Raw genomic sequence first — 26,077 nt, 5'->3', positions numbered from 1 at the left:
ATCAAAACTCTCTGTAAAGCTACAGTAATCAAGACAGTGTGGTACTGCCATAGGGATACACAAATTGACCAGTGAAACAGAAAAGAGTTCTAAAGAGACCCAGGACAGGTGCAGTGGCTCACACCTGTAATCCCAGCATGCCGGGAGGCTAGGGGGAGGATCGCTTGAGCCCAGAAGTTCAAAACCAGCCTGGGCAAAACAGTGAGACCTTGTCTCTACACTTAAAAAAATTAATAAATACATTAAAAGAGACACATACATATTTTTAAACCAGATTTGCAACAAATGCATTACTGCAATTCATGAGAAAGAATATTATCTTTTCAATAAATTATGTCGGGTCAACTCAGCATCTGTATGGAAAAACTAAACTTCACCCCAACTTATACATAAAAATATTAATTAAAAACGTATCATATCAGGAGATCTTCTAGCATGAGAGTGTGAGGCACCTCACTGAAGTGTTCCCCTATGAAACTGGTTACAATTATAAACAAAACGATTATTTAAAGCTTCTAGAAATAGTCCCAAATGACTAGAAATAGTCCCAAAGCAGCAAATAAAAAAATATCTATTCAAGATAATCTTTGAAAATTCAGTAAGAAAGCCTGGAGCCTGTGGTATTTGGATCAGGACTTCACCCTTCCCCCACCTCCTGGCTTAGCAACATGGAGACTCCACTCCCAAGAACGCAGAATTTCTTTCCTCATCAGTGCAGGAGCCATACGCTCTTGGCCCCCTAAAGATTTGCTAAAGAATCACTGACATGAGGTAAGTTGATTAATAGGAGAAAAGGAATACACATTTATTTAACATGTATACACAGGAGCCTTCAGAATGAAGACCCAACTTCCCAGTGAGTTACAGAAACATGCATACTAGGCCACAAGAAAGAATGCAGATTCAAAAAATGGCCAGAAACAGGTAAATAAGGTTTAGTGGCAACACAGGTTAAGAGACAGAGAAAGGAAGAAGCTTGTCTAGCAAAGGTGGACTTGTTAGATAGATGAAGCCTCCTTTAGAGATGGTAAATGTTTCTTTTCCGATTTTTAAAAGTGTCAGACTCTCTATCACTCCTGGATCTGGGGAAAGGCATAGAAAGTGGAGGAGTTATGGCTGTGCTAATGGAGATTCTCTACTGATGCAAATTTTCTCCACTGAAAACAGCTTTGCAAGGCCACTTCCGCCAGGATGACCAACTGGCAGCCATTTCAAAATATGTCAAAGAAATATATTTTAGGGTAAAATATTTTAATTTCCTTCACTAGATTCCAGTCAGATAACTTCTTTCCTCGGAAGAGTAGGACATCAGCTTTTCTTTTTTTTTTTTTTTTTTTTTTTTTGAGACGGAGTCTTGCTCTGTCGCCCAGGCTGGAGTGCGGTGGCGCGATCTCGGCTCACTGCAAGCTCCGCCTCCCGGGTTCACGCCATTCTCCTGCCTCAGCCTCCCGAGTAGCTGGGACTACAGGCGCCCGCCACCGCGCCCGGCTAATTTTTTGTATTTTTAGTAGAGACGGGGTTTCACCGTGTTAGCCAGGATGGTCTCGATCTCCTGACCTCATGATCCACCCGCCTCGGCCTCCCAAAGTGCTGGGATTACAGGCGTGAGCCACCGCGCCCGGCCCAGCTTTTCTTATCCTACTCTCAGTTACCTATTGCAGAGGCTAAGTCCTGAATGACTGCAGTTGAGAAGTGGAGACTTCCTTCTTTTGCCCAACCCACACTCATGGAATAGAGACTCTACCTCTTGCATGGCGGGCTGAGAATACTGGGGCCCTGCTAGTTGGTTCCATGTTAGGAGAGACAAGCCAAAAGGATCTTAGGCTGCTTCCCTGACTTCCATTGAGTGTGCAGCATCTAGAGCACAGATTTCACTCTGAGAAAAGTGTGCCACTGTCCCCACTCCCAGTTCTATAGCCCTGGTTCAGAAATTTTGCCTATGGGAGAAACAGATCATAAAACATAGTTCCCTATCTCTTCCTAAAAGAACTGTATTTGCAACAGAGCATAAGTAAATTCCAAGCTAAAGGCACTCTTAAGAACAGTGGATATATACACGGTGAAAGGCAATTGGAGAGATAGTCAAGATAAAGGCTAAATGACAGACAAACAAGTTTTTGGGGAAAAATGGGAAATAAGACGACTGAGAGGAGCCCTCCTGGGGTCAGAACAAATATTAGACTCAGAAACTACTTCTTCAAAGGGGCCAGAAGTTGATTGGTTTACTTTGTAGAACAGTTTATGTCCTAGAATGTTGTTGAAAACAGTAGAGCAATCAGTTGGCAATTAGTGGAGTTTAACAGCTGAATGTGGTCAGAGAAAGAGAAGAAAGCCTTACCAAAATTACCACCATATTTGGCTATGGGTATATTCATATTTGTACCTCTCTGAGGAGAAATATCAGAGTCTTTACACTGTGTGCTGGGGTTGGGAATGAGAGAGAAAATAAACTTCACTAAAATAATCCAGATATTCACTAAACAAATAAACAATCAAATAACAATAATACACCCAGAAGAAGGGCAGCAGTATTCCGAGTGGCTGCAATATGCTATTAAAGATGTCGAACTTCAAACAATAACAACAAAATGAGGCATGTCACTCAACAGGAAAGTACGACCCAGATATGGGTGGGGGAAGGGGGCAAAAAGCCAATAGAAACTAATTATGAGACCAATCAAATGTCAGATTTTTTCAGAAAAAGACTTTGAAGTAGTTTTTATAAACATATTCGTAGAACTAAAGAAAACCACGATTAAAGAAGTGAAGGAAGGTATGATGACAATGTCACTTCAAGTAGAAAATGTCAACAAAGAGAAATTATAAAAAGGAACCAAATGGAAATTCTAGAGTCAAAAAGTAAAATAACTAAAACAAATAATTAACTAGAGGAGTTTATATTAGTTTGTTAGGACTTCAATAACAAAATACCACAAACTGGGCGGCTTAAACAACAGAAGTTTACTGTCTCACAGTTTTGGAGGCTAAAAGTCTGAAATTAGGTGTTGGCAGGATTGGGGTTTTTCTGAGTGCTGGGAAGGAAACATGGTTTTGATTTCCCTAGCTTCTGGTTCTTTGCTAGCGATATTTAGCATTACTTGTAATTGTGGGACCTCGACCTCCACTTTCATCTTCATCTGGTGTTCTCCCTGTGTGTGTCTATCTTAGTGTACATGTTTTCTTTTTTTGTAAGGCCACCAGTCCTATTGGATTTAGTCGACCCTAATGAGCACATTTTAATTTAATTACTTTGAATACCTTGTCTTGAAATAAGCCCACATTCTGAGATATTAAGGTTTAGAAATTAAACATATATTTTGGAGAAACACAATTCAACCCATAAGAGAGCTCAGTAGCAGATTTGAACTGAAAGAAGAAAGACTAAGTGAACTTGAAGATACATTGATAGATTGATCAAGATTACACAAGCTGAAGAGCAAAGAGAAAGAAATAAAGAAAAATGAACAGAGCCTCAGACAAATGTGAAAAACCACTATGTGCACCAACATATGCATAATGGAAATCACAGCATTAGAGGGGAGAAAGAAAGGAGAAAAATCTATTCGAATAAATAATGGCTGATAACTTTCCAAATTTATTAAGAAACAACTATAAGCAAATACAGGAAGTGAAACAAAGTCCATTGTATCATTCTTAAGCCTTTGCATCCTCATAGCTTAGTTCCCACTTGTGAGTGATAATGTGATGTTTGGTTTTCCATTCCTGAGTTACTTCACTTAGAATAATGGTCTCCAGTTTCATCTGGTTACTGTGAATGCCATCATTTTTTTCCTTTTTATTTACACCATGGAATACTACTCAGCCATAAAAAGGAATATATATATAATGTGATATAGATCACAATCTTTTATCTAATCATTGATTGATGGGCATTTGGACTGGTTCCATAGTTTTGCAATTGTGAATTGTGCTGCTATAAACATGCATGTGCAAGTATCTTTTTCTTATAATGACTTCTTTTCCTCTGGGTAGATATCCAGTAGTGGGATTGTTGGATCAAATGGTAGTTCTACTTTAGGATATTGTTAACCAAGAATCTTATTTAACAATGCTATCTTTCAATAATAAAGGCAAAAAATAATACTTTCCCAGATTACAAAAAGAGATAAAGAACCACAACCAGAGAATTTGTTTTAGCTGACCTGCGTTACAAGAAATACTAAAAAAAGTTACTCAAGCTAAAAGCAAATGACCCTAGATAGTAATTCATATTCCCACAAAACAACAACAACAACAACAACAAACACAGAGAGCACTGGTAAAGGTAATTCTTCTCTGAATTGGTTGAAAAAGCGATTGTGTCATTATGTGTGTTCTGTGAGGTGTGTTGGAGCAAAGCTGTATTAGGCTGAGGAAATAACTACAGATGGTGTTGTAGTACAGAAGTAATAATTATACAGAAGTACTGCAGAAGTAATAATTATAAGAATTTAATATTGCGCTTGTAACATTAAGACATGTAATATGTGTTAAATATATGTAATATGTATTAAATATAAAACCGTAAAAGGGAGAAAACGAAATAGAATTATACGAGTAGTACCTTTATCATAGAAATTAATCTAGTATAAATCTGAGGGTGATCTGGTAAGTTAAGATGAATATAGTAAAACCAAGAGGAATCACTAAAAGATGACTTAAAAATACAATAAAAATGATTAAATAAATTAAAATGCTACATAAGAAAATGTTCACTTACTGTAAAAGAAAGCAGTAAAGGAGGAACAGAGAAACATTAAAACCATGAGCTAAATAGAAAACAAAAATTGGCAGACACTTTTAACTATATCAACAATAACATTAAATGTTAGAAACATTTGTACACAAATATTCCTAACAACATTATCTGTAGTAATCTAAAGATGCAAAAAACCTAAATCTCCATCAATTGATGAATAGACAAACAAATGTAGTATATCCACATAATGGAATATTATTCAGGCATTTAAAACAGTGAGGTACTGATACATATTCACTCTTTTTTTAAAATATGAGTGAACCTTAAAAACATTATGCTAAGTGAAAGAGCCAGTCAAAAAGACCACATGTGATGTGAATCAATTCATACGAGTAGTTCAGATTAGGGAAATCTTTAGAGAGAGATAAAGTAGATGGTGGAGAATTGGAGAATGGGGGATGAAACATATTTTATAGAGTTATTTTTAGGTGATGAAAAATTAAAATATTGACTATAATTATGGTTGCACTTATGTGTGAATGTACTTTAAAAACTATAGAATTGTACCCTTTATTTTCAATTGTCAGATAACATTATATTTTATCTTCTACAATACAAACTTTTGAAGTATGTATATGTTGTAGAATGATTAAAGCTAGCCAATTAACAAATGCATTACCTCACATAGTTATTACTTTTGTGCTGATAGCACATATAGTACCCACTGTTTTATATGTTTTTCAATACTACTATATATTGTCATTAACCATAGTCACTTTGCTGCACAATAGATCTCTTGAAATTTATGTTCTCTAACTATTATGTATCCTGTGACTAATGTCTTCCCATCACCTGTCCCCTAACTACTGCCACCTCTGATAACCACCATTATGCTAATTTTATGAGATTCGATTTTTTAGATTCCATGTATGAGTGAGTTCATTGCAGTATTGGTCTTTCTTTGCCTGGCTTATTTCACTTAAGATAGTATAACCTCCATACTGTTTTCTGTAATGGCTGTATTAATTTACATATCCACCAATAGTGGATAAGTGTTCCCTTTTCTCCACTTCATTTTAGCACATGTCATCCTTTATTTTATTGATAATGGCTATTCTACTGGGATGCAATGATGTCTCATTATAGTTTTAATTTGCATTTCCTGATGATTAAAAAAGTTGAGCATTTGAAAAATATACCTTTTGGCTATTTGTATGTCTTCTTTTGGAGAAATGTACATTCAGTTCTTTTGTCCATTTTTTAAATTAAGCTATCTATTTATTTATTTATTTATTTATTTTAATTTATTTATTTTTTGCTTTTGAGTTATTTGAGTTTCTTATATATTTTGGATGTCAGATGTATGGTTTGGAAATATCTTCTCCCATTCTGTAGGTCATCTCTTCACCCTACTGATTGTTTCTTTTGCTGTGTGAAAACTTTTGTTTGATGTAATCTCATTTGTCTATTTTTGCTTTCATTGCCTGTGCTTTAGATCCTCATACAAAAAATTATTACCCAGACCTATGTCATGAAGTGTTTCCCCTATATTTTCTTCTAGTAATTTTATAATTCAGGACATATATTTACATCTTTAATCTATTTTGAATTGACTTTTCTATATGGCGAGAGATGAAAGTCCAATTTCATTCTTCTGCATATGGATATGTAGCTTTTCCAACAGCATTTATTGAGACTATTTTTTCTCCAGTGTGTGTTCTTGACATCTTTGTCAAAAATAAGTTGGCTGTAAATGTGTATATTTATTTCTGGGCTCTCTATTCTGTTCTGTTGGTCTACGTCTCTGTCATTTATGTCAGTACCATGCTGTTTGCATTACTATAGGTTTGCAGATATTTTGAAGTCAGGTAGTATAATGCCTCCAGCTTTGTTCCTTTTGCTCAAGATTGTTTTGGCTATTTGGAGTCTTCTGTGGTTCCCTAGAAATTGTAAGATTGGTTTTTCTATTTCTGTGAAGAATGTAATTGGTATTTTAATAGACAGTGCACTGAATCTGTAGATCATTTTGAGTAATATGGACATTTTAACAATATTAATTCTTCCAGTTCAGGAACATGGGATATCTTTCCATTTATTTGTGTCTTCTTCAATTTCTTTCATTAATGTTTCATAGTTTTGATTGTAGAGTTTTTTTTACTTCCTTGGTTACATTTATTCCTCAATATCTCATTTTTCTTGTAGTTTTGTAAATGTGATTCTTTTCTTGATTTTGTTTTCAGAAAATTTGCTATCACATAAGAAAATACTATTGATTCTTTAAAGTTTATTAGAATAGTACACTTTACTTATGTGAATGTATGGTATGTAAAATGCATCTTGATAAAGCTGTTAAAAATGTATCATATCTTTAGGAAGTTGCAAATCAAAGCAACAATGAGATATCATTATATATCCATTAGATGGCTAAAATTTGAAACACTGACAATACCAAATGCTTATGAGAATGTGAACCAACAGGAACTCAAGTTCATTGGCAGTGGGAATGCAAAATAATACAGCCACTTTGGAAGCCAGTTGGCAGTTTCTTTTACAAAGTTAACCATAGTGTTAACATACAATACATCAATCACACTCTGAGGTATTTACCCAACTGATTTAAAAACTTATGTCCATTAAAAATCTGTACACAGGCTGGGTGTGGTGGCTCATGCCTGTAATACTAGCACTTTGGGAGGCCAAACGGGGGTCAAGAGATCGAGACCATCCTGGCCAACATGGTGAAACCCCGTTTCTACTAAAAATACAAAAAATTAGCTGGGTGTGGTGGCAGGCGCCTGTAGTCCCAGCTACTCAGGAGGCTGAGGCAGAAGAATCATTTGAACCTGGGAGGCGGAGGCTGCAGTAAGCCAAGATTGTGCCGCTGCACTCCAGCCTGGGCAATAGAGCAAGACTCCATCTCAAAAAAAAAAAAAAATCTGCACACAAATGCTTTATCCATAATCGCTAAAAACTGGCAGCCATCAAGATCTTTATCAACGGGAAAATGGGTAAACAAATTGCAGTGCATCCATACAATGAAATATTATTCAATAGTAAAAAGAAATGAGCTACCAAGCCGTGAAAAGACATGAATAATATTCAAATGCATAATGCTAATTTAAAAACAGCCAGTCTGAGTAAGGTATATACTGTATAATTTGAATTACATGATGTATTTGTCCATTTTCACACTGTTGATAAAGACATACCTGAGACTTGGAAATTTACAAAAGAGAGCATTTTAATTGGACTTACAGTTCAACATGGCTGGGGAAGCCTGACAATCATGGCAGAAGGCAAGGAGGAGCAAGTCACGTCTTACATGGATGGCAGCAGGCAAATAGACAGAGCTTGTGCACGAAACTCCCATTTTTAAAACCATCAAACCTCATGAGACTTATACACTACCATGAGAACAGCACGGGAAAGACCCCGCCCCCATGATTTAATTATCTCCCCCCTGGGTTTCTCCCACAACATGTGGGAATTATGAGAGTTACAAGATGAGATTTGGGTGGGGACACAGAGCCAAACCATATCACGTGACATTCTGGAAAAAACAAAATTATGTGACAATAAGGGCAGTAGTGGCCAGGAGTTCAGGAAGGCAGGGAAAAGTTTAAATAGGTAAAGCATGGAGAATATTTTGGGGCAAGGAGACCATTCTGTATGGTAAAATAATAGTGGATACTTGGTATTATGCATTTGTCGCAATCCATAGAACTTTGCAAAACCAAGAGTGAAACTAACATATGCAAATTTTAAAATTATGTAGGAGGTAGGAGGATTCCCGGATGAATTGTAGACTGCAACAAAAGCTTTTAAATGTATTACAAATGTGTAAAACAAACTCACTGACAGGAATAGAGTTTAAGGTGGTGATCTAAGTAACTATGGAAATGAATGGAGTTTGAAAACCTAAAGGAAAAAGGAACTGCACATTAGTATTATACTATATTTGATAAAGTGTTTCCCATGCAGGTATAGGTTAACAGTTCTGATACTACTGTACATGTATATAAAAATTGAACAATTGAGTAAATGGATGCTATATGGTGGAAGGCAGATTTCTTTCTAACGCAATGGTAGTTTATATATAAGCAGGGTGAAAGGTTAGAATGGTTCACATAGTAGTGTAGAAAAGTTGGAAACATCAGTATGAACTCATTCTTTGCTTATGTAGATAGAGAAAGTTACAGATAAAATATTTATAGATAAGTATACATGCACTGGTTAGTATGCATACATATATTTCCCTGTTCTGTCAGCTGAAAGGGCCTAGAAATGATGAAACCCCAATAGTAATGAGCATATCTAGCATCTAGGACTTGATATCTCTTAGCAGTCATCTTAGCAAAGTTGATGCAAAAGTAATTGCGGATTTTGCTATTACCTTTAATGACAAAAAAAACGCAATTACTTTTGCACCAACCTAAAAAAGGAACCCTGGCTCCTGGGAGAAATGGCTGACTCTAGAACTAAAGCAGGCAATACACAAATAAGCCTCGAGCATAGTGCTAGAAAATAAGGAAGTCTTTAAAAACAATACATAAAAAAACTACGTTGATGGAGATATGCCAAAGGCACACATGAGGCCACCAAAAGATCACCCAGTTGCTAATGTTGAAATAATTTAAGCAGCAAAATAAATGAGTATGTATTGACCGAACACGGTGGCTCATGCCTATAATCCCAGCACTTTGGAAGGCTGAAGTGGGAAGATCACTTGAGCCCAGGAATTCAAGACCAGCCTGGGCAACACAGTAATACCCTGTCTCTATTAAAAAATAAAATAGACTGGGTGTGGTGGCTCATGCCTGTAATCTCAGCATTTAGGGAGGTTGAGAGGGGTAGATCATGAGGTCAGGAGATCGAGACCATCCTGGCTAACATGGTGAAACCCCGTCTCTACTAAAAATACAAAAAATAAGCCGGGCATGTTGGCACGCACCTGTAGTCCCAGCTACTTGGGAGGCTGAAGCAGGAGAATAGCTTGAACCCGGGAGGTGGAGGTTGCAGTGAGCCAAGATCTTGCCACTGCACTCCAGCCTGAGCAACAGAGTGAGATTAAGTCTTGAAAAATAAATAAATAAAATAAAAAGAAATAAATTAGTATTGAAGTATAATCCAAAATATAAATATCTGTGAGTACCTGTGAGTACATGGTAACATAAATAAATGATAAATAAATGGGAGAATATAGACAAACCTCTTACGCAGAGCAATTCCAAGTGATTTATTTAGTAACTCTGTGTGTGTGTGTGTGTGTGTGTGTGTGTGTATTTATTTATTTATTGAGATAGGGTTTTCCTCTGTCACCCAGGCTAGAGTGCAGTGGCATGATCACAGTTCCCTGCAGCCTCGACCTTCTGGCCTCAAGTGATCTTCCCACTTCAGCCTCTGTGCTCACCACCATACCTGGTTATTTTTAAAAATTTTTTTTTTTTCACAGACAGATACTCCCTGTGTTCCCCAGGCTGGTCTCAAACTCCTACCTAACCTCAAGTGATCCTCCTGTCTTGGCTCCAAATTGCTGAGATTACAGGCATGAGCCACCATGCCCAGCCCTATATATATGTTGAAAACAAATTCTCTTGATAAAATGTGATGAAAAAGCCACTTTACCTTTGTGGTCTTCTCCCAAAAACACATAATACAGCTTAATCGTATGGAAAATATCAGACAAATTATAATAGAAGGTCATTCTATAAAATATCTACTCCTCAAAACTGTCAAGGTCGCCAAGAACAACAACAAAAAAAAGGTAAGACACTGTCACAGCCAAGAGGAACCTAATGAGACAGGACAGCTAAATGTATTATGGCATCTTGGCTGAGATCCTTAAATACAAAAAGAATATTAGGCAAAAATTATGGAAATCTGCAAAAGCTTTCAACTTTAGTTAATAATGTATCAACATTTGATCATTATTATAACAAATGTGCCATAATGATGTTAATAATACAGGAAACTGATTGTGGTCTTTATGAGAACTCTGTACTGTTAAGGTTTTCTTGTAAATCCAAAATTTAAATTTTTTTGTTTTTTAGTATTAGAGATTTAAATGTGAAAAGTAGAATACATCTTCTTCATGCAAACATAGATCTTCATGACTTTTGAGTTGGCAAATATCTTAAGGAGAATTTAAACGCTCTTCATACTAAAGAAAACTTTGATAATATGAACCTTACAAAAAAGGAAAAATTATCTTCATTAAGTCACTATTTTTAAAATTTCAATTAAGAGAATTAAAAGGCAAGTCATCAGTTAGCATATTATATTTCAAAATATATATTTGACAAACTACTAGTATTGTTGTAGGAAGAACCAGGTTCTTGTCACATGACCAGAAAAGCCTAGGCTCGCAGACACTTTGAAGGATGAGGGGTTATTTATCGGGCGGAATTTATTGGGTGTAAAGGAAAAGCAGCACAGCAAAGTGAGAGGGGTTCTTGTTAGGCCCCCATCTGACAGGTTGAATCCCAGGTTATCACCCAGGAACAGGAGAGGCCAGGCTTGTCTCCTCTACAAAGGGCGCCAACTTCCCCAGGCCCCACCCTCTCCTCCCAGTGAGAAGAGAAGACCAGTTGGAGATTCTCCAGGGAGCCCTTTTTACTTGGTTGTCTCAATATTCATAACAAAACAAAGATACTTAAATCCGGAAGAAAAAAAAGTAAATTATAGTAGGCAAACAATTTAAATATACACTTCGTAAAATGGTTATGCCCCCAGTTATATGAAAAGTTGCTCAACAGCCTTAGTAATTGGTGAAATGCAAATTAATACCAAGATAAATTATGACTATACAGTTACTAATATCTCTAAAAATAAGAGGAGTAACAAGTGTTGATGACAATTGGAGGAACTGAAGCACATATATATTACAGGTGAGAGTGTATATTGGTACAATTGCTTTGCAAAATGTTTTGGCAATATTTATTAAAGTTAAGCATATCCTACTGTATAGCAACAATTCTAATTTTAGATATATACAAAAGTAGAATGAACGATATTAAAAGACTGTTTATGACAATTTCATAGTCAAAAACTGGACGAATACTATGTACATCAACAACACCAAAATTCCTCGTATTATACTACAGTAGAAGGCAACTTCCTGAATCTCATCTATGATAGCTATCAAAACTTATAGGAAGCCTCATATTTAATACTGAAACATTTTTTGTGATTATCAGGTCATGTTAATTACTTTGAGTTTACTTACTAAATTCAGAAGAAAAAGACAAGGATGATCTTTAATATTGCTTTGTAATATTTGACTGAAAGTCCTGTGTAACCCAGTAAGACTAGAAAAAGAAATGCAGGTGTACAGTTTAGGAAGAAATAATTGACATTGTCAGTATCTATACACTATATGATTCCTTACTTAAAAAAAAAGTCAACCGAAGTTAGAAAATAAATTGCTAACAGATTTCAATAAAATAACAGTTGCATTATAAAATATTAACAAATTATTAGAAAAATATGATTTCACAAAAATACCGTTATCCACTGCATAGCAACATTTTGGTCAATGACAGACCCCAAATACAACAGCGATCCCATAAAATTATAATGGAGGTGAAAAATTCTGGTTGCCTAGTGACGTCATAGGTCATAGCTGTCTTAATGTTGTAGTTCGATAGATGCAATAGGTTCTTCACACATTTGTGGGGATAGTGATGCTAGTGTAAATAAACCTACTGTGCTGCCAGTGGTGTAAAAGCATAATACATATAATTACGCACAGTGCATAATAGTAATGAGAAATGACTGGTGTATGTATTTACCGTACTATACTTTTTATTGTTATTTTAGAGTATATTTCTTCTACTTAGATATATTTTTTAGAGTTGACTATAAAACAGCCTCAGGCAAGTCCTTCAGGAGATATTCAAGAAGACAACATTGTTCTCACAGGAGCTGACCACTCCATGCCTGTTACTGCCCCTAAAGACCTTTCAGTGGAACAACATGTGGAGGTGGAAGACAGTGAGATTGATGATCCTGACCTTGCCTACTATTCTACAGGCTAATGCATGTTTGTGTCTTCATTTTTAACGAAAACATTTAAAAAATAAAAAACAGTAAAACATTTTTTAAATAGTAAAAAGCTTATAGAACAAGAATATAAAGAAAGAAAATGCTTTTGTACAGTTTTATGATGTGTTTGTGTTTTAAGCGAAATATTATTACAAGAGTCAAAAAGTTAAACAAAAAGTTAAAAAGTTCTTAAAGTAAAAAAAATCATAGATTAGGTTAATTTATTACTGAAGAAAGAAAATTAAACAAAAATTAATTTGATATGGCCTGTATGTACAGCGTCTATAAAGTCAAGAGTAATGTGCACTAACGTCCTAGACCTTTACATCCATTCACCACTCACTAATACAACCACGACGGCTTTCAGTCCCGCAAGCTCCATCCATGGTAGGTGCCTATAAAGGTTCACCATTTTATATCTATTATACCATATTTTTAGTGTACATATGTGTTGGATACATATGTGTTAGATGTTTACATATGTGTTGGATACATATGTGTTAGATGTTTACATATGTGTTGGATACACAAATACTTACTATTGTGTTAAATTACTTACAGCATTCAGTACAGTAACATGCTGTACAGGTTTGCAGCCTAGGAGCAATAATTGGTCATACCATATAGCCTAGATGTGCAGTAGGCTATATCACTACGATACAGTGATAGTCTATCTCACTATATCACAGGGAATTCTGTAAGTACTTACAGACCTATTGCTCCTAGGCTACAGACCTGTACAGCATGTTACTGTACTGAATGCTGTAAGTAATTTAACACAATAGTAAGTATTTGTGTATCCAACACATATGTAAACATCTAACACTTATGTATCTAACACATATGTATCCAACACATATGTACACTAAAAATATGGTATAACAGATATAAAATGGTGAACCTTTATAGGCACCTACCATGAATGGAGCTTGTGGGACTGAAAGCCGTTGTGGTTGTATTAGTGAGAGGTGAATGGACGTAAGGGTCTAGGACATTAGTGCACATTACTCTTGATTTTATAGATGCTGTACATATAGGCCATATCAAATTAATTTTTATTTAATTCTTTCTTCAGTAATAAATTAACCTAATCTACGATTTTTTTTACTTTAAGAACTTTTTAACTTTTTGTTTAACTTTTTGACTCTTGTAACAATACTTCACTTAAAACACAAACACATCATAAAATTGTACAAAAGCATTTTCTTTCTTTATATTCTTGTTCTATAAGCTTTAAGTACTTACGGAGTTCCCTGTGATGACACAACAACGAAATTGCCTAATGCATTTCTCAGAACATATTCTTAAGCAACACATGACTACATACCGTTTACAATAGCCACTAAAAGTATAAGATTTCTAGAAATGATTTTAATAATGGCTATTAAAAATCTTAATGAAGACAATTATACAATTTTATTTAATGAATTTAAACCTGATCTATAATACATAGATACATACAAGTTCAGAAATAGCAAGATGCAGGGTTAAAATTACAACTATTATTCTGAGAGAATTTTGTGGAAGATTCAGGCTTAATCTAAATATTTTGTGGAAGGACAAAAGGTCATGAATATTTAGGAAAAATTTCAAGAAGAACATGTATGTGAGTGGGGCGGGGGTGTGAGTGTGTATGTGGTGGGAGGTGGTAGGGCTTGTTCTTTCAGGAAAATATCTAGTCTTATTTAAATTTAAAATAAGTAAGATTGTGTGGTATTAGTATAATTATGGGAAATTAGACTTCCAAAATCAAATTTTAAAACCTACAAAAAGATGCATGCATATATGGAAATTGAATAAATTATAGAGATGGAAAACATTGCTACAAGTAAAATGGAAAAGAATAAACTACTTAAAATATGCCACTAGGGGAAGTGGCTATCACATGGAAAAGAATTAATTGGAAATATGGATCTTCCGTAAATAATTAATTCCAGATGGATTTAAGAGACAATTCTGAGAAAAGTGAAATTAATGGAAGGAAATAGGTGAAAATATCCTTATGAACTTGGTCTCAATAAGGTTTTTGAAGGATACTGAAAATGTAAAATGTATTAAAAGGAAAGATTTTTTACATTAAAAGTTAAAGTCTGTGTAGGTTAAAAGAGGCACCATGAGTGAAAATCATCTGCACATTGGGAGAAGCTATCTGTACTATGAGATTCCATACACAGACATGCTATTTGTTATGGGCCAGTTGTTCGGAGTTCTGAGGATGCAGCAGTTTATAGAAGAGTGAAAAATGCTTGTCCACAAGAAGCTTACATCCTAATCCTATAGCTGGTGTGTGGTAAAATCAGCACTTGGACCTATTGCACTCACTGTGTAGCTCATGTTTCTATATCACTTTACAAATTTTAAGCTGGGTTAATATGGTTCATCCCTGACAACTGGATCCACTCTCAACTTTAACAGAATCTAAACCTACAAACATTAAGCTCATGCTATGGTGAATTTTTTAAAATAAAAGTAATCTTGGGAGCACTCAGCCTTAACAGAAGACATTAAGTCTCATAAAATATAAAGATACGAATGTCTCAAGAGCTCCTGTACGTCACTTAGAAAAAAAAATTAAGCCTCAAAGAAAAATTTGCAAACCATGGGAACAGGCAATTGATTCATAAAAGAGGAAACACAAATAATGATTAAATGTATTGAATGTACTTTACCTCACTAGCAGTCAGGGGCCTTGGCAATCAAAGCAATATGAGGTACTATTTCATTCTCATCCAACTGGTCGGACTTAAAGTCAGCCAATACAAGTGTTTGAGTAGATGTGGATCAATATGAACTTTTACACACTGCTGGTGAGTATAAATTGTGCATCCCTCGGGAAAGAGCAGATTGCTTATATTTGATAAAGCTGAAGCCACCCATATCACATGACTCAAGAAATCCAATTCCATGTGTACAGCCTAGAGATATGCAAAAATGCTTACTGCAACATTGTTTCTAATAGGAAAAATGGAAAAAAAAACAACTAATTATCTGTTAACAGAAAGATGAATATACACATCAAAGACTATCCATTTAGTGAATAATAAATAGCAGTGATAATGATGGCCTAGAGCTCTACTAATGAAGACGAATCTCACAAACATACTTTGGGATAAAAATATAAACTGCAGGCCAGGTGTGGTGGCTCACACCTGTAATCCCAGCACATTGGGAGGCCAAGGTATGGGGATCACTTGAGGTCAGGAGTTCAAGACCAGCCTGGCTAACATTATGAAACCCTGTCTCTACTAAAAATACAAAAAATTAGCTGGATGTGGGGGTGTGCACCTGTAGTCTCAGCTACTCAGGAGGCTGAGACAGGAGAATCACTTGAACCCAGGAGGCGAGGTTACAGCGAGCTCAGGTTGTGCCACTGCACTCCAGACTGAGCAAAAGAGCGAGACTCTGTCTCAAAAAAAAAAAAAAGAAAGAAAGAAAGAAAGAAAAATATATGTAAATTTCAAAAAGACGCATATACAGTCCCTTTTAAGTGAAGTTTAAAAGTATGAAAAGCATTACTATATATTGATTACAGATTCATGCATATGTAGTAAATATATTAAAAAGTATGAGAAAAACTCTAAATTATTATACTGTTTACCTCTTTGAAGGAGGAGAAAAAATTCAATTAGGGATGTGGATTAAAGAAATTGCATATGAAACATGCCATTTCTCAGATCACTACAATAATCATATACTTGAGTATCACAGACATGAAGGCCAATGAATCAGGTAAGCAAAAAATATTTACTTGTTGATTTTTCTACTTATGCAAAGCCAATATTACATTTTTATAATGTGTTAAGATTTTGAACTATAACTACAGAAGAAGTTTTAAAGAAAAGTATTACTGACTTATAAAACCATGAGAATAGTGTAGAAACACCTGCACAATACTTATTCACACCCACACATTAGTTATTCTTTTTTTTTTTTTTTTTGAGACAGGGTCTGTCTCTGTCACCCAGGCTGGAGTGCAGTGGCGCAATCACTGCTCACTTTGTCCCCAACCTCCTGGGCTCAAACGATCCTTCCACTTCAGTCTTCTTACTAGGCTAATATTCTTATTGTGAGGCTAATCCGGATGGGTATTAATATTGCCCCTGAAGAACACAAGAACATACTCATGGTTATCTAATCCAATATTCACTGCTCCCTTTCAAAATAAACCATTTTATCAGAATAAACCATTTTACCAGCAGTGACATATGTTCTGAAATAATAATTTTATATATGTTTTTAATCTTTGGTACAAAATTGAACATATGGGAAGCTGTTTCAAAATACTTTTGCCTAAACACCATTGGAAACCTACTGAGTAAATAAAACCCCTAGATATCAATTCTAATGATGAATATGTTAAAAACATATTGTCCAGGTGTTTCTAATGTGAACTCCCAATTATGAACAATTGATTAATGCTATCAACATCCAATTAAGCAAAGATTGGATTATCTGCATTTAAAATTGCCTTTGTGTGTATTTCAGGAGGGATTTTTTTTGCTGCACTCAATATCATGACTATGTAAAAGGGCATGTCTAGAAAGATAAAGAGACTGGATAAGTTCAACACATTCTATTTAAACTTTTGGTCTTTTCCCTACATTGCAGCTCCCTGTGCTTTTACATATCAAATATGCATAGAATATACTTCTGAGATGATTTCACCCAAGAATAAGTATGCTTTAGAATTAAAGAGTTGTTTGGCAAATAATAACTCAGTCTGATAATACAGCTATTGATTTATTAAATATTAAGATTTTGTCATTTTTAGTGTCATTACTCATTTTAGTGTCATACAGTGATTGATAGCTTTGTTTTTTAATTTTACAGATTTTAATTTCAGAATCAATAATAAAGTACTGATACATAATTTATGGGAAAAGAAATCAGCAACCTCTCCAGAAGGTGAATATATTAAAGCCTTAAAATACTTACTTCGCATCCCCAGCTGAGAAAAAAATTAAGGACTAGAAAATACATTTTAAATTCATATTAATTATTTAGAATCACCAGAGGGAGGACTACCATTGTCCATTTCACAACTGTCTAAGTTCATAAAGTTTCCAAAGATCTTACAGCTACTTAATCAAGTTCTATCCAGAAGCGGTTTTCATCATGAAGGTAAAGATCTAAGGTGAAGGAATATTATACCTTATTACACTTCATCTGAAAACAAAAATAGACTTCTTTTCCTTTTATCCCTATTGGATGTTTTGTACATCAAATGACAAAAAAAACCTGCTTCATTGAAAGACCTTGTTATCAGTTAAATTTCATTACTGAATACTTATCTGTTTAAGCCACCTCTTTCAGTGATATCATGTAAATAAGCAAATAGAGTGTCAGATACAAAACGATACAACTGCTTAGAACCCACACAGATTAGGAGCTGTCATGTATTCCTCACAACAACCTTGTACTATAGCTTTGAATGTATTATCTTTCTGAGGAGAGATAAGAGAAAAAAAAGTATGCCAAAACAATGCCATCTTTTGAAAGACACATACAATTTAGCAGAAGAAAGGAAAAGAGGTTTTTGCAAAAACAAAAGGCACATAAATGGTCAGGAACAAGAAAAGATAGCTAGGAAAAAATAATGACCTAGAAGTCAGAGAAGAAAGATACAGCATTGAGTCTGGGGATGAAGTAGCATCTATCACAAGGCTACTATGAGCCAAGTGCTTCACGGGCATTCTATCAATTAATCATTTTATCATCTAATTGCTCCATGTGAAAGCTAATTATTTTCTCAATGTATAGATGATACAATTTTAGACAAGACTCTCAAAATCTATTTAAGTAAGAAATATAATGTGTCATTTCATTTCTTTCTCTCTATGCATGTGAGAAAAAACCCCAATGATTAACTAACTTATGCCTCTTCAAAGAAAATTACTTATACCTTGAGAAAAGAAAAGTATTTATACTTTTGAGAAAATAAAGATGTTCATTTAAATATCATTTCAGGACACTATGTTATTGAGTAAAGCAATCAGTTGGAATTACACACCTTAGAGATTAAAGGTTAATTTAATAAGACACAACAGTGATATCAGAAGTCTGGTTTTTTGTTTGTTTGTTTGTTTTACAAAGTCTCATTATTGGGTTTAATTTTTTTAAGACTAATTCTTTGATGCAGATTAAGAGGTAATTTTTTTCTTACCTTCTGTAGCTTTTCTTTTTTTCTTTCTTTCTTTCTTTTTTTTTTTTTTTTTTTGAGACGGAGTCTCGCTCTGTCGCCCAGGCTGGAGTGCGGTGGCGCGATCTCGGCTCACTGCAAGCTCCGCCTCCCGGGTTCACGCCATTCTCCTGCCTCAGCCACCCGAGTAGCTGGGACTACAGGCGCCTGCAACCACGCTCGGCTAATTTTTTGTATTTTTAGTAGAGATGGGGTTTCACCGTGTTAGCCAGGACGATCTCGATCTCCTGACCTCGTGATCCACCCGCCTGGACCTCCCAAAGTGCTGGGATTACAGGCGTGAGCCACCGCGCCCGGCCTGTAGCTTTTCTTTTAAACTAGCAATTAGAAAGACATAGTTTCAAGGCTAAGAACTGAAATTTCATTGGTTAGTCTAGAGGAATAAAAGACGGCCGACTAGAAAACTCAACTTCTATGATATGGAAAGGAAAAAGTCAGAAATGATAGTTAAAAATTGGCATGTGGAGTTAATGGTTTAGTCCTGTATTGCTTTGCATTTACCTAAGAAATCCAAAGTCAAACACTTACGAATGGTAGAACTGTTTGTGGACCTATGTCTGCCTGAGGCCAAAGTTTATACGGGCTCAATTATTCCTTGGCCTTTCTCTCACTTTCAAGAAGGTAATCAGTAAGCATGTAGAATTTAAGATTGATAAAAAAATTAGAAAGGGTCACAAATTTGACACAAAGGAAACAATAGTAGGGAAATAATTTAGATTCATAACAAACAGCAAATTGGAAGAAGAGAAACTGTAGTTTTATGAAAATATCGGAGTATAACTTGAAAACCCACTCATGACCTAAAAATGATGGCTGAGCTAGCAAGCAAGAAAGAAAAACACACAGATGACAGAAATTAAGAAGAAATGAAAACAGAAGTGGAAAGTAAAATGAAGCATTGCTATAATAGACATGAACTTTATCCAACTTGGGAAACTAGAGGCATGAATATGAACATTCTTCAGGAAAGATCTTGAGCCTCAAAGTCATCCATGAAGGTCAGAATCAACTTCTTCCAAACTCCTGTTAATGTTGATATCTCAACCTTTTCCCATGAATCATGAATGGTCACAATGGCATCTGGAATGGTGAATACTTTTCAGAAGGTTTTCAATTGCCTTTTCCAGATTTCTTCAGATGAATCACTATCTATGGCAGCTATAGCCTTATTAAATGTGTTTCTCGAATAATAAGACTTGAAAGTAAAAATTACTCCTAGATCTGTGGCCTATAGAGTGAACCTTGTGTTAGCAGGCATGAAAACATTAATCTCCTAGTACATCTCCATCAGAGCTCTTGAATGACAAGGTGCATAGTTAATGAGCAGTAATATTTTGAAAGAAATTTCCTTTTCTGAGCAGTAGGTCTCAACAGTAGCTTAAAATATTCAGTAAACCATGCTGTAAACAGATGTGCTGTTATCTAGTATTCATTATTCCATTTATAGAGCACAAGCAGAGTAGATTTAGCATAATATTTAAGGGCCCTAGGATTTTCCAAATAGTAAACAAGCATTGTCTTCAACTTAAAGTTACCAGTTGCATTAGCTCTTAACAAGAAAGTCAGCTTGCCCTTTGAACTTTTGAGCCAGACATTGACTTTCTCTCTAGCTGTGAAAGTCTTAGGTGGCATTTTCTCCCTATATAATGCTGCTTCATCTAGTGATGAAGTTTAGTGTAGCCATATTCATCGATGATCTTACCTAGATCTTCTGGATAACTTGCTGCAGCTTCTGCATGAGCACCTGATGCTTCACCTTGTACTTTTATGTTATGGAGAGAGTTTCTTTTCCTAAACCTCATGAACCAACCTCTGCTAGATTTAAACTTTTGTTCTATAATTTTCTTACCTCTCTCAGCCTTCATAGAATTAAATAGAGTAGGGTCTTGCCCCAGATTAGGCTTTGGCTTAAGTAAACGTTGTCGTTGGTTTGATCTTCTATCCAGTCAACCGAAACTTTCTCCATATCAGCAATGCAGCTGTTTTGACTTTCTTATCATTCATGCATTCACTGGAGTAGCACTTTTAATTTCCTTCAAGAACTTCTCCTTTGCATTCACAACTTGGTGGTTTGGCTCAAGAGGCGTAACTTTCAGCCTATCTCACCTTTTGACATGCCTTCCTCACCCAGCTTAATCGTTTTCAGCTTTTAATTTAAAGTGCATTACATGGCACTCTTTCTTTCACTTGAACACTTAGACACCATTGTAGGGTTATTAATTGGTCTAAGTTCAATATTATTGTGTCTCAGGGAATAGGGAGGCCCAAGGAGAGGGAGAGAGGTGGGGAACAGTGGAGCAGTCTGAACATACGTAACATTTATTTATTTATTTATTTTATTATTATTATTTTTTGAGACGGAGTCTCACTCTGTTGCCCAGGCTGGAGTGCAGTGGCGCTGTCTCGGCTCACTGCAAGCTCCGCCTCCCGGGTTCAGACTATTCTCCTGCCTCAGACTCCAGAGTAGCTGGGACTACAGGCGCCTGCCACCACACCTGGTTATTTTTTGTATTTTTAGTAGAGACAGGGTTTCACCGTGTTAGCCAGGATGGTCTCGATCTCCCGACCTCGTGATCCGCCTGCCTCGGCCTCCCAAAGTGCTGGGATTACAGACATGGGCCACCGCGCCCGGCCACAGGTAACATTTATTAAGTTTGCCGTGTTACATGGGTGTGGTTCATGATGGCCAAAACATCTACAATAGTAACATCAAAGGTCCCTGATTATAGATCACCACAATAGATAAAATGATTATGAAAAATTTGGACTATTGAGATAATTATCAAAATGTGACACAGAGACACCAAGTGAGCACATAGTGTTGACAAAAATGGTACCAATAGTCTTGCTTGATTCTGGGTTGCTACAAGCTTTCAATTTGTAAAAATCTCAACATCTGCCAAGAGCAATAAAATGAAGTGCAACAAAATGAAGTATGCCTATATTTTAGTTAAGTCACTACAAAACCAGGTAATAACAAACCATGTCATTATACAAGTTGTCTCTAAGATTCTAAAAAACCTGCTCCATAAGATTAGCACCACATGTACCTAATTTTACAATGCAACTGAAGAAGATACTCTTGTATATTCAACATTGTGAAGATTTAAAAAATTCACTTTAACATCATGTCTTACTAGGAAACAATCAGAGCTATGAATTTCTTGTGGAAATTATTCTCTTTGTATTTTCTTGAATAGCAATAAGAAAATCAACTGCTATCTGCCCTCAAGGAGCTAAAGGGAGAATACACTTGCAGGTGAGATACATTGTCTTCCTTCTGTTGAAATGAAACTGCTATCAGTGTGCTTAGCAGCATATGTAAATAACAGATTGAAACTTGGTCACAGAGAATTTTCTGTTCCCGACATCTGTTATACTTGACAGATGCCCCAGTGCCAACATGGCATCAAGTAAAGTGAGACTACAGAGAAAGTAGGAACTCCCACTGTCTTACTCCTTTCTGAACAAAAGCACCATTAACTCAAAAATGAGGTTCTGAGCTGAATAAACTATATATGATGTCTGTAGTTCGTGGATGTAGAGGCATGTGTGATTTCAGTAATTAAAATATCACATTCCTTGCTCCCTGCTCCTGACAGACAGGTGGTCTGGTTTACTTAATCTTACATTTGAGTTCATAACATTTCAAAATGTTTTCATTTATTCTATCAGTAGGAAGAAACAGAATATCTAAATAGTGTTAAATGTTTAATCCCAGTAATAAGGACAACATCATGATGTTAATAAATGCATATGCAAAAACATGAACAGCAAAATGACTGAAAAGCAAATGCAAATAACAGACATTGTTTAATTTTGCTACTGTTGCAATGATTGCAAATTAAAGCAAAATTGAGGGATAATTTACAAGGCATGCAATTTAAAGTGACATATGTCACCAAAAGCTAGTGATAGTGCATTAAATCTGTAGTGCTGCTGCACAGATTGTAGAATGGCCATTTTCAAAAGCAATTTGGCATATCAAAGGCCATTACAAGTGTTTATAAGACTCACTTGAGGAAGCTGCTGGTTAATTCGGTGATGATAAACAAGCAGAAGCTATTGACTTCCTCCATAAAATCCTATCCTGGAGCAACGGGGGAAACAAAAGGGAAATACGAATGCCAGAAAGAAACCAAAAATCTAAGCAAGCTCTTCAGAGCATGGAGTGTGTTTTGGGCAGTTTATGTCTGGAGTGTGAGTGGCTGAAGGCAGCAAAAGAAGAGGGAAATGGAAGCAGCAAGGACAGGGCTGGCCAGAGGTAAGGTGTTTTGTTTTGTTTTGTTTTGTTTTGTTTTTGGCAGAGTCTTGCTCTGTTGCTCAGGCTGGAGTGCTGTGGCACAATCTCGGCTCACTGCAACCTCCGCCTCCCGGGTTCCAGTGATTCTACTGCCTCAGCCACCTTAGTAGCTGGGATTACAGGCACACGCCACCATGCCCGGCTAATTTTTGTATTTTTAGTAGAGATGGGGTTTCACCATGTTGGCCAGGCTGGTCTTGAACTCCTGACTTCAGGTGATCCACCTGCCTTGGCCTCCCAAAGTTCTGGGATTACAGGCATGAGCCACCGCACGTGGCCCAGAGGCAAGCTTTTATTCTTAACTTTTTACTGAAAAATTGCATGCATATTATAAAACATAAAAAGTATGCAACTCAGCAATCACCAAGGTAAGTACTTTTCAGATCAAGACAGAGAACATTAGCAGCATCAAGGTCCAGGCAACAAACAATACCAACACCCAGAAGCCTTCCTCCTGCCCTAACCTGGGCTACTCTCCCCAGAAAGGTCAGTAATTGACTTTTGGCTGTTTTTGAACTTCCCTACGTAGGTAGAGTCATTCCCTTTTGCATCTGGTATGTTTAGCTCAAAGTTACATGGAAAGATTCAGACATTAGTTCTAAAAGTTATTCATTGTAGTTCTAAAAATTATTATTGATATGTATCTTTATTATTTAATATTTTAGTTATATTATATCATATTTATTATTTATATATTGCTATTGTTTGAAGGTTTGCATCCCTTCAAAATTCATGTTGAAACTTAATCCCCAATGCAATAGTATTAAGAGGTAGAGACTTCCCTAGAAGATTAGATCATGAGGGCTCTGCCCTTATAAGAGGACTTAAGCAAGTCTTTTAGGCCTTCTTTTGCTCTTTGACTCCTTTGCCATGTGAGGATGCAGCAAGTAGCACCACCTATAAAGCAGAGAGCAAGACTACTAGACAACAAATCTGCTGGCAGCTTGATCTTGGACTTCCCAGCACCTAGACCTGCAAGAAATAAACTTCTGTTGTTTATAAATTACCCAGTCTAAGGTATTTTATTATAGTAGCCTGGACAGACTAAGATATGTATTATTTATTATTTTACTGTACATAGCAGTTTATGAAATACTATTATGTATAAATATATCAAATCTTTTTTATCATACTCTTAATGGTCATTAGGGTTGTTTCTAGTTTTTGCTACTATGCAAGAAAAAAAGCTGCTAAAATTTTCTCGTACATATTTCTCTGGTGCAAATATATACTTGTTATACTGGATCTGTGCCCAAAATCATTTAAATTCTTGCCATTATAGGAAGAAAATGAGGATAATGATGTTTAAGAAATCATCAAAAATAAATAAAACAAAATAAATCATATAACTAATATTTTTTCTATTATATATATATATGTCCAACAAAAGAAAACTTGATCAATCAATAGAAAGTGATAATGAAGGAAAAAGAGGACTAGAAGATACAATAGATAAAAAGTGTGAACTAAAATAACAAGAATGATTTTTAAAATAACAATAACTTAAATAAATATAAATGGGTTAAACATCAATTCAAAGACAGTAATTATTTGGTTTTATTTAAACTGCACAAGATACAATAATACCGATGGGACATATTTTGATAAAAAACTATAATAGTGGTTGAAAATCAAATATTGAAAAATTATACCAGGTAAATATAAATATAAACAAAGACAGATGGGGTAACAATCTTATATGACAAAGTAAAATTTAAAGCAAAATACGATATAAATACAGTGTAAGTTGAAAGGATATTGTATATATAAAGAGAGAAAAATTAGAAATAAATATCACAGGATATATGCACAAATTATACATCCTCAAGTCATAGTAAGCATCAACTGATATAATTGCAAGTAGTAATACGTGCATGTCAGTAATTGCTTTGGAAACTTTAATGCAATCCTCTCATAAACTGAAGGTACAAAAAGATGAAACTTAAGCATTAATACTAGGATATCAAATGACATAAATAATAAGTTTAATCTATTAGATATATGTAAAATTCTACATTTAACAGAGAATAAACATTTTTAGCAGGATTAATATATTAACAAAATATATTCTTCGTTAAACCACAAAGAAGTTTCAATTAACTTCAAAGTATGAATAACAGAGCATATGCTTTCTTGCAAAATACTATAAACTTACGTATTAAAGCAAAAAGATAACTAAAATATTCCATAGGTTTTTAAGCTAGAAAATGTATTATTAAATAACTCACTCGCTAAAAAAATGCTAATGGAAATTTAAAAAAATATTTACAAGTGATTGATAACAAAAACACTACAGACCAGTGCTTGTAAGATGCGGCTAAAACAGTAAGAAACCAATATACAATCCTAATCAAGATTTCAGTTGGATATAATGAGAAACTTGATAAACTTTTTCTAAATTAAAAATAAACATATTGCAAAAGAAAACATATGAAAGCCTTCAGAATGTGGCCTATGGGACAGGAATGAAAGAAAAAATACAAAGAAAAATATAGGCATTGCTCTAGCCATTCAACTAATTTAATTAGATAACTTATAAGAAAAATACGTTTCATGTAAATAATTCAGAAAAAAATGTATGCAAATTGATTTGTTATAGTGTTATTTACAATGAGAATATATTTTCATTGTTCTTAACATCCAACAACAGAAGAATAACACACTGGATTAATAAAAGGAAATATTATGCAGGCATTAGCATGAGACAGATTACATACATGTGTCTGCAATGAACTTTTTTAAACAACTATTTCTGGTAAAAATAAACTAGCTTCATAAAATGCATTTAATATGCTTTATGATATTACAGACCCTAATTCTATGTAAACTGGAT

Source organism: Homo sapiens, chromosome 18 (assembly GCF_000001405.40).
Source record: "Homo sapiens chromosome 18, GRCh38.p14 Primary Assembly".
NCBI classification, from domain to species: domain Eukaryota; kingdom Metazoa; phylum Chordata; class Mammalia; order Primates; family Hominidae; genus Homo; species Homo sapiens.
Note: the sequence above shows the minus strand (reverse complement) of the source record.